The 10,446-nt window shown below is 41.2% G+C and overlaps 1 protein-coding gene across 10 annotated transcripts in view; it reads right to left on the bottom strand.

Annotated features, from left to right (window-relative positions):
* LOC124903233 (uncharacterized) overlaps window positions 1–4,218 on the bottom strand; it is a 46,627-nt gene extending 42,409 nt beyond the window's left edge. For 2 of the 10 annotated variants that reach the window (XR_007063913.1, XR_007063911.1), the window contains exons 1-2: window positions 2,638–2,886; window positions 2,256–2,343 (exon numbers count right to left, since the gene is read on the bottom strand). Coding sequence is in view for 2 of the 10 variants with exons in the window: in XM_047430847.1 (XP_047286803.1) it covers window positions 2,256–2,343; window positions 3,996–4,067 (160 nt within the window). In the remaining 8 variants the exon portion in view is untranslated. Of the gene's footprint in view, window positions 1–2,255; window positions 2,452–2,637; window positions 2,890–3,344; window positions 3,537–3,995 lie in introns of those variants that run through there. The other 8 variants (XR_007063916.1, XR_007063910.1, XR_007063917.1 and 5 more) reach the window with 8 other exon arrangements.
* Between the last annotated feature and the right edge of the window lie 6,228 nt (window positions 4,219–10,446).

Here is a 10,446-nt window from a genome sequence, read left to right as displayed (position 1 = left end):
AATTAAGAAGTTTAAAAAGTAAAAAGGTAACAGTAAACTAAGGTTAAATTATTATTAAAGAAAAAAATTTTGTAATACATTTATTGTAGCCTAGGTGTGCAGTGTTTATAAGGTCTATGTTGGTGTGCGCAGAAATGTCCTAGGCCTTCACAAGCACTCGCCACTCACTCAGTGACTTACCCAGAGCGACTTCCAGTCTCGTGGGCTCCATTAATGGTAAGTACCCTATACAGGTGTACCAATTTATTTTATACTGTATTTTTACCATACGTTTTCTTTATTTAGATATGTTTAGATACACAAATATTTACTGTTGTGTCACAATTACCTACAGTATTGAGTACTGCAACATTGTACAGGTGTGTAGCTCAGAAGCGACAGGCTATATCTTATAGCCTAGGTTTGTAGTAGGTGGTCTCATCTAAGTTCATGTAAGTACACTCTATGAATGTTTGCACAGTGATGAAATTGCCTAACGATGCATTTCCCAGAAGGTATCTCCTTCGTTAAGCAACATATGAGTGTAAAGTGCTTAAAATCTGGTGAAAAATAGGCACTTACAATAGTATATGAAAAGAGTGACATATTATGTTCATTTACGGGTCAGAAAAGCCTTTTTAAAGTAAATAACCTGTAAACGGATGTTGAAATACGTGAAGTATGTGTAGAAGTTAAGTTAGCAAATGACAGGAAAAGAATATTAAATATAAGAACAAAGTATTTTGTGCAATGAATCAAAAAAATTACAGTAGTGTGTTTAGAAATGAAGGCAAGTTTAATCCTGCTAGAATATATCTTACAAAGGAAATAGGGTGGAGATGTGAAGCTAAAGGGAAGCTGTAGCCAGCAGCCAGATTAATAAGAAATCCAAAAGCTTTAATAAATCTCACTAACAGTTTAAAGAGTAACCTAAATGCAACTGGATAGCAATTGAATGGCATTAAGCAGAAGAAGAACAAGATCAGATCCAAATTTAAGAGTATCATTTTGCTTACAACGTAGAAAATACACAGGGAACAGGGAAGAAAACTTGTTGCTTTATTATTAAAATAATGTACAGCTGGGCACAGTGGCTCATGCCTGTAATCCCAGCACTTCGGGAGGCCAAAACAGGTGGAGCACCTGACGTCAGGAGTTCAAGACCAGCCTGGCCAACATGATGAAACTTCATCTCTCCTAAAAATACAAAAAATTTAGCCAGGTGTGGTGGCAGGCGCCTGCAATCCCAGCTACTTGGGATGCTGAGGCAGGAGAATCACTTGAACCTGGGAGGCAGAGGTTGCAGTGAGCTGAGACCACGCCATTGCACTACAGCCTGGGCAACAAGAAAGAACCTCTGTCTCAAAAAAAAAAAAAAAAAAAAAAACTCTGTCTCAAAAAAAATGTGTGTATATATACACCAATCAGCACTCTGTGTCTAGCTAAAGGATTGCAAATGCACCAATCAGCACTCTGTGTCTAGCTAAATGATTGTAAATACAACAATCAGCACTCTGTAAAAATGCACCAATCAGGGCTCTGTGTCTAGCTAAAGGATTGGAGGACCCACCAAGTCCTCCCAGGTCTCTGCTGTAGGAATTGATGGACAAGTCTCCAAACCCCGAGCCACCCCTCCACTCTTCTGCTCCCTACACAACTTCTCCTTCACTTACTCTTCCTTAATCCTGCCCTTATGTCCAACTCTGCTCCTGGGCAGAGACATCCTTTCAAAACTCCACACTACTCTCCACCTGCATGGTGACCTACTTAGAAATTCGGCTTTCCCCTGGGGCCCAAGCTATGACCCCAGCCCGAGCAGCATTAACAGATAATCTACCCCTGCCCTCCTCCCGAAGCAAAATCATTTTTTTTTCCTAGGGGTAGCAGGCTTTTTAAAAATATGGATTCCCAACTCTGCCCTCCTAGCTCGCCCCCTCTATGAAGTGGCCAAAGGCCCTCTCAATGAACCCCTAAATCCCTCACATAATATACTCCCCAACTTCCACAAACTCCAAACTGCTCTAGTCACTGCACCAGCTCTGTCCTTACCTGATATCTCCCAACCTTTCACTATCTATACTGCCAAAAGCTGAGGAATAGACCTCGGTGTCTTAGGACAACAGAAAGGAAATCCTCCTTCCTTCGCTCCTTGGAGCCTACCTTCTAAACAATTAAACAACACAGGCAGAGTGAGAGGAGGTGCCAGCTGGGCTTCCTGGGTCGAATAGGGGCTCAGAAAGCTGTGAAACTCACTCATTTCCTGCATCAGGACTTACCTCGGTCCTGGATGAATGATATTGAAGATATATGCTTAAAATATTCCTTACACCAGGATTTGTGCATGTGTTTTCTTCCCCAAGAAAGCTATAAACAACGAAAATTTCACTGTAAGTTTCCATGTCCTTCTTTCCCTCTCTCCCTCTCTCCCGTCCCCCTCCCCCGAAACTAAAGTAAAACGAATGTTAACTGCCTGTTTTTCTGTGACCAGCAGAGCTTATCTATACTCCCAATTCCAATTCCTTATAAACATACTTTGTAAAGTCCTGTAAGATCCTGTCTCCTTTGCCATGCCACTGCAAAGTCATAAAGTAGATAAAACCTAAGTTGCAATTCTGGTTTTCCTCAAAATCTAAGATATGTCACAAAATATTTTACTACCTTTGTTTCTCCCTCCTGTAACAAGCTTCCCGCCTCACGTATCTCCTGCCTTGAAAAATTGACAAGGCAATCACCCAAAACCAACAGTGGCTACCCATTCGGGACCCCTTCCATGCTGTGGAAGCTTTGTACTTTCACTCTGCTCAATAAAGCCTACAGCTTTTTCTCTCTCTCAGTCCGTGTCTCTATCACTTGCCATGGTCAGCTGCTACACCAATTCTTTGGTGTGGCTAGGCAAGAACCTTAGGCGTTACAAGATGGTGGCCAATCTCTCTTAGAGCACTAGCAGCAGCGGCCACTTTAACTCTAAAAAAGCAGAAAACTAACATTCAGCCAAAATACCACCATTTACAGTCCTTATAATATGCAGGATCTCCTTTCCTCCCGAACATTAGGCTTCCTTCCTCCTTCCCGAATTCAATTACTCCGCACCCTCTTTATCAAAAATCCCAAATTTAGTCTTGCCAAAAGCACTTCCCTCAACCCAGCATCCTTACTCCCTGTATCTTCTTCCCTTTCTACTCATTCTTGCACTGACATCCTAGATCACCTGCAGCCACACTTTCCAAATATTTCCTCCGAGCCTCTCATCAACCCTGATGACCAGCTATTTATAGATGGCTCCTCTTCTGGGCCCACTGACTCCCGCAAAATTGCTGGGTATGCAGTTGTTTCCCTTGACCGGGTAATTAGAGCTAAACCCCTACCTCCAGGAACCTCCTCTCAAAAGGCAGAAATCATAGCTCTCACCAAAGCCCTAACCCTTTCCAAAGGCAAACAAGTCAACATTTACACAGACTCCAAATGTGCATATCACATTCTTCCATCTGGCGTGAGAGGGGATTTCTTACTGCCAAAGGGAGCCCCATCACTAACGGTCCCTTTATTTACCAACTCCTTCAGGCCTCACACCTCAAAACTGAAGCGGGAGTTATACACCGTCAGGGACATCAAATAGGAACAGATAAAATCTCAAGAGGGAACAGAAAGGCCGATGAGGCAGCAAAAGAAGCCTCCCTTTCTTCCGCTCCTCCCTCCCCCTCATTACCCCTGCAATGCAACCCCAATGCTCCCCCCACTGAAAAGACCTTATTACAACAACAAGGAGCCTTCCTCCAGGGGGAATAGATAGTTAAGGACCAGAAGTTAGTCCTTCCCCAGGGCCAATCCAACAAAATCCTAACATCTCTCCACCAATCCTTCCATAGTGATGCACATCCCCTGTATCTCCTCTGCCGCCCATATTTCTTCTCCCTTCACCTATTAACCTTACTAAGAAACATAACTTCAAACTGTCGTATATGCTCTGTTACCTCCTTTCAAGGAGCCCTCCATTCCCCATTTATTATACTACTCACCCTATTGTTTACAGTGAAATTATATAATGTAACTCCTTCCAATCGGAATACTAGCCAAAAAGTCTCCCTCATTTTAGCCTTCTGCCTAATCGTTACCCTTATAGCAGAAATCACAATCACTAACAAACATTCCCATATCCCCCTAGATGCCCTACTTTTGTCTATCCTGCCACTTCACTCTCTTACTTCACGTCCTCACACAAGATATTTCCTGGTTCCGCCCACGGAACTACACCCTAGAAGCCTTTTTCAAGTGGATAACCGACCTTTTCTTCCGGGGCTCTCTCTGTGGCTTCACTCCAGGTAAAACCGAACTATTTACTTTTCTGCTCACTCTCTGCCTTTCTAACTCACCTCATAATCAATACCCCAACCCTTCTTTCAGCCCAACCAACACCTACAACCCCTGAACACCTATACAAAACACTCAGTCTCACACATTTCTTATTAAAAAACTCCAATTCCTCCCTGGCATAAGACTGCTGGCTCTGTGTATCCCTCCTCTCCACAACATACAATACAATCCCTGCCTCAGCCTATAACTGGACTTCCACCCAAGTAAACTACCATCCTGAAATCCTCATTAACAACCCCCTCAAACTCGACATACAGGCATTAACAGAAATCTCCTCCCACCCCCATTAGGTAGCTAGTTCGGTCCAGCTGTTACAACCTTACATCCCTACTTACGCATCCTATCCCCCTACAGCAGCCCTGATAAACCCATATCAGGAGCCATAACAACTCACACAATCTTATCCTATCCAGCCCCACTGTGCGTCCAACGACATCTACCCTCTGGCATTCCCCTTGGCAACTATACCCTACAACTCAAACCTTCCACCAAACATACTAGTCTCAAAGCTGCCAACAATAAAAACAGGCTTGGCTTCTCTAGCTGCCCCCCTGGCCCTTGACACCTGCCACCTCCTTAATAAAAATTTAGAGCACTGCAAAGGCCGACACTTTCCCTGTTTATGCCTCTTCCTTTGGCTCCCCTCTCCATGCACCATCCCCTGCACCCACCACCTGCAACGGGTCTCTTTATCCCAACATTCAACAACACTCCCAGATAGATTTTAGTGGACACAAAATGCTTCCTCTTACACTGGGAAAAAAAGAACCTCAAAGCCTCCCAGCCTAAACCACACACCCCTTTACAATCACTTACAGCAGCAGCCCTAGCCAGGACCCTAAAATTATAGATGTATGAAAATAACAAAATAGTACTGTGTCCAGAATTGGTTCCTTCCAGTGGGTTCTTGGTCTTGCTGACTTCAAGAATGAAGCTGCAGACCTTCACAGTGAATGTTACAGCTCTTAAAGATGGTGTGTCCGGAATTTGTTCCTTCAGATGTTCAGATGTGGCCAGAGTTTCTTCCTTCTGGCGGGTTCGCTGACTTCAGGAGTGAAGCCACAGACCTTCACAATGAGTGTTACACCTCTTAAAGGTGGCGACCCTGAAGTTGTTTGTTCCCCCCTGGTGGGTTCGTGGTCTTGCTGACTTCAGAAATGAAGCTGCAGACCCTCGCAGTGAGTGTTACAGCTTATAAAGGTAGTGCGGACCCAAAGAGTGAGCAGCAGCAAGATTTATTGTGAAGAGCGAAAGAACAAAGCTTCCACAGCGTGCAAGGGGACCCTGGGTGGGTTGCCACTGCTGGCTGGGGGTGGCCAGCTTTTATTCCCTTATTTGTCCCTGCCTATGTCCTGCTGATTGGTCCATTTTACAGAGTGCTGATTGGTCCATTTTATAGAGTGCTGATTGGTCTGTTTTACAGAGTGCTGATTGGTACGTTTACAATCCTTTAGCTAGACACAGAGCGCTGATTGGTGCATTTTTACAGAGTGCTCATTGGTGTGTTTACTATCCTTTAGCTAGACACAGAGCGCTGATTGGTGCATTTTTACAGAGTGCTGCTTGGTGCATTTACCATTCTTTAGCTAGACACAGAGTGCTGATTGGTGCATTTACAATCCTCTAGCTAGACAGAAAAGTTCTCCAAGTCCCCACTCAACCCAGGAAATCTAGCTGGCTTCACCTCTCAGTACATCTTTTTAACATTCACAACCAGTTCTATCTGCCAAGTCAAGGCATACTTTTCCTATGCGATACCTCAACCTATATTTGCCTCCCTTCTAACTGCACAGGCACCTGCACCCTGGTTTTCCTCAGTCCAATCTATTACAACTCTCCAATCAGAAATAAATTCTTTAGCAGCAGTAGTTCTTCAAAACCACAGAGACCTAGACTTACTAACAGCTGAAAAAGGAGAACTCTGCTTTTTTGTACATGAACAGTGTTTTTTTTATCTTAATCAATCTGGCTTAGTACAAGATGCTGTGAAAAGACTAAAGAACCAAGCACAAAAATTAAGGACAACGTCTCCCGATGACCAGCGTGGCCATCCTGGTCCTTTAGTACCTGGTTTCCATGGCTAATGCCCCTCCTAGGCCCAGCCATAACCATTCTTCTTTTTCTAGCATTTGGCCCTTGTCTCCCACGCCTTCTCACCCAGTTTTTACAGGACCGTATCAGAACCTTCACCCACGGGACAATACAAGATATGATGCTGCTCCAGGAATACCAACAGCTCCAAGAACAGCAGTCCCTACCGTCCAGCCTTCCCCCAAAACTGTCGCCCCTTCCCAGCAGGAAGCAGCCAGACAACAACCAGATAATGGCGACACTCTTCTATTACCTATTAAAAGTCTGGAATATCTCTGTGCTGCCAACCCTCCCCCCAAACCTTTTTATCTTTCTAAGCCCTTATCTAGGCGCCTTGGTGAAGCCAGCAGACTTTACCTATAAGGTCTTGCTACAATAAACAAACCCCAATTACAAACCATCTGGACATACAGGGTGAGGTTGTGGGAAGCATAAGCAAAGTTTACCTACATCCTCCCGAAGTTCCTTCATCTAGCTGCCATAAATGTCACAAGGTGATATATGGCAAAGTTAACCCATAAACGACCCCAGGGTCTCTCTCCTCCATATAAACCCCTCATTTTTTAAGCTCAGGGCTGCCTCCTCTGTCTGTAATGGAGCAGCCAGCAGGTTAATAAAGGCTTTCCTGAACTTGGGTCTCTCTCTCTCGTCCTTTCTCTCAGCTGACTTTACACTCCTGTGGTTTTATCAACATTATGATTTTGAATTGTAGCACCAGGATTATACAATAACCTAAATGTGTGTATTTGAGATATTGTGAAATATATATTTGGTTTTCATCAATACTTCTTGGCATACAACTCCTAAAATCCTTGGAATATATAAGTGCTGTCTTTTTGTATGCTAATGTTGACCGAGAGCTTCAGGATGGGTTATCCTGTAGACAAAAGCATGATTGCAGGGTTGGAATATTCTGCCCCACCCCCACCTCCAGGAATGGGAGACAAGCTGATGGTCAAATTGATTACCAATGGCTGATGACTTAATCAATCATGCTTACTAATGAAGCCTTCACAAAAACCCAAGGGGACAGGGTTTGTACAACTTTTGGATAGGTGAACACATAGAGGTTCCTGAAAGGTGCTGTACCCAGGGAGGACATGGAAGGTCCATACACCTTCATCCATACATCGTCCCATACATCTTTTCATCTGTGTCTTTGCTATATCTTTTATAATAAACTGGAAAAAGTAAGTAAGTGTTTTCTGGAGTTCTGTGAGCTACTCCAGAGAATTAATTGAACCCAAAGAGGAGGTAGTGGGTGGGAATCTCAACTTGAAACCAATTGGTTAGAAGTTCTGAAGTCCTGGACTCGTGACTGGTGTCTAAAGGGAGGGCGGTTTTGAGGACTGAGCCCTCAACCTGTGAGATTTGTTGCTATCTCCGGGTATACAGTGTTGGAATTGAATTCGAGGACACCCAGTTGGTGTCTCCTACAGAATTGATTGCTTGCTTCGTGGAGAGAAACCCACTCCCCTACATTTCATTACTGAAGTGTTCTGGGTTGATTTTTGTTGTTGTGTTGCTGGTGTGACAGCAGAGGAAAAACAATTTGGGTCTTTATCCAGACAAAACTCTAACAAGAATGCCAAACCAAACGTCATATTTCTCTCTAAATTTCATCATCCTCATTGATTCTTTTTATTGAAGAAAGATGCAAGTTACAAACATGGGTATTATTCTTTATTTTCTCAAATCCTTCAACCAGAACATCAAATTTTTCAATAAATGTTGTTGATGTTCTCTTTAAAATATCTCATGAATTCAAACCTTTTTTTTTCATTGTCCTACCCCATGGGCTCACTACTTTCTGCCTTAACTGTCCTCCCTGATTTTAAGTCCCCATTTCTTCTTCAAATCATTTCTATTTTTTTTTTCACATAACCTATCAAGGATCTCACTGCTGACATTTATATTGTCACTGGACTGGACTGATCTTTTGAAAATAGAATTTGGTTCATGTTCTTTCTTCTACTATATGTTTCTAAGTTGGCGTTTTCTTAATTTAGACCTATAATACACACACAAACACACACACATATATATACATATACATATACACACATATATATACACATATATATACACATATATACACATATATACATATATACACACATATATATACACACATATATACATATATATACACACATATATATACACACACATATATACACACATATATATACACATATATATATACACACACACACATATATATATATATACCTATAGAGAGAGACTTTTAGTATGATCTTGCTTCTGGCCGCTTATTTATCAATCTTACACTGTCATTCTCCAAACATTCCAGCTAGTTTGAATTAATGAGAGGTATTAAAATATATTTTTAAGCCCTTGATCTTTATCTTCTACCATATCTTCATCGTCAGTATCCTTTCTTTATCTCATGAATGAAGAAGGGAGAAAGAAGGGCTTACTCCTTCCTATTAGTCTTCACAGAACTCCACAAAACAATACAGTTGATATCTTATTGATCAGCATTTAATTACACAGATATACTTTATCTTATAGATAGCCTTAACTTTAAAGAAGGCTGGAAAACATAATGCTTTGTTCTGGTCCAAATACAATCAGTTTTCTTTCAATAAAGAGGAAACAATAATGGATACAGAAACTAATAATTAACTGTATGTCCATAATTTACTACTCTGGCTCTATACCTACTCATAAGTGTGCACTGATTTATATAATAACAAACGATCCTATTCCCTGAAAGAAAAAAATTAAACAATTATTGCATCTAGCAAAAATTCTTGAATCTCTGAATGGAGTAAGGATCTATACACCAGGGCTTTGTGCTGCTATTTGTGATACAGCGATCTATAAACTAAATACTAATTAACCTGCACAGCATACAATAGAGGAGAACAAAAAGAATAACCACAGTAAAAACACCCATGTGGAAACAGAAAATTGAAAGTACATAAGTCCCTACAAATGCAGTTTGTGGGTTGGAGTAGTAAAGATTCCATGAACTAGAAGGAGAAATAACATAATTTTTTGGCCCATTTCACAGCCTCTTCCAATCACTGGGAAGGACTTGATCATTTTCTATCTTCTGTGCCCATATTTGAGATGGGTATTGGAGAGTACATATTTCCTGGGCATGTCAAAGTTTTAGCAGCAAATTTCTTATTAATTGGAGTGAGGGAGCTCTGGTGCTTTTTTAAAACATTTAACAGTCTTGGTCTGTTTTATGCCAAGTTAGCATTCATTTGACATTATAATTCCATCAACAATTCAAAAGGTTTCTTGTCGGTTTTTTGTAAGTTCCATGGACATATTTAAAAGTCAACCCTTTTGTAAGATATTGGTTTTTAAGTTTTTAATATCTTTATGTATTGGTATTATCCTAAATGTACACATAAGGTTTCTGGACCAGAGAAAATTATTATTATTTACTTACTACAAATGATAACTGTGTTGTTTCCAAGTGACTCAATTCTTACACAATGAGGTAATAAAAGACAGCTGTCACACTCCATGTACAGGTCTATACAGGAGAAAAATTCGGTTGCCCTCACTCCCTGAGTCTCCTTGGAAACACTATGGGAAGGATCCTGAGTCATTACTTTAATCTATTGATATGTAAATAATTCTCTCCTGAGGAAAAATAAGACCAGCGTCTCCAGCTTTATAACTCTAGCGTCTCATGATCCCAAGTTTTATTCACTCTTGAAATATTCTTCCCAAGAAGTAAATCTCTCTGAAGTTCTCATTATCTTATCTGTCAGAAATTAACATCCAGAGATCCTAGGTCCCAAGTTTCAGCAAAATTTTCTTCAAAAGACCTGACTGTGAAAAAGTATAAAACATATTTTACCTACAGTCCCACAGACTTTGAGCTTGAACATTACCAGTTTTTATTACTTGTCTGTATATTTTACTTATCAACCTACCCCTCAAATTAACTACAGCTGTCTTAAAACCATTTAAAGTAATAGATTTGAATGAAGAGGTAACATATCTACTTTCCTTCTC

The sequence above is a fragment of the Homo sapiens genome, chromosome 13, assembly GCF_000001405.40.
Source record: "Homo sapiens chromosome 13, GRCh38.p14 Primary Assembly".
Taxonomy (NCBI): Eukaryota; Metazoa; Chordata; class Mammalia; order Primates; family Hominidae; genus Homo; species Homo sapiens.
The sequence above is the reverse complement of the archived record's forward strand: the minus strand, read 5'-3'. Positions and strand labels throughout refer to the sequence as shown.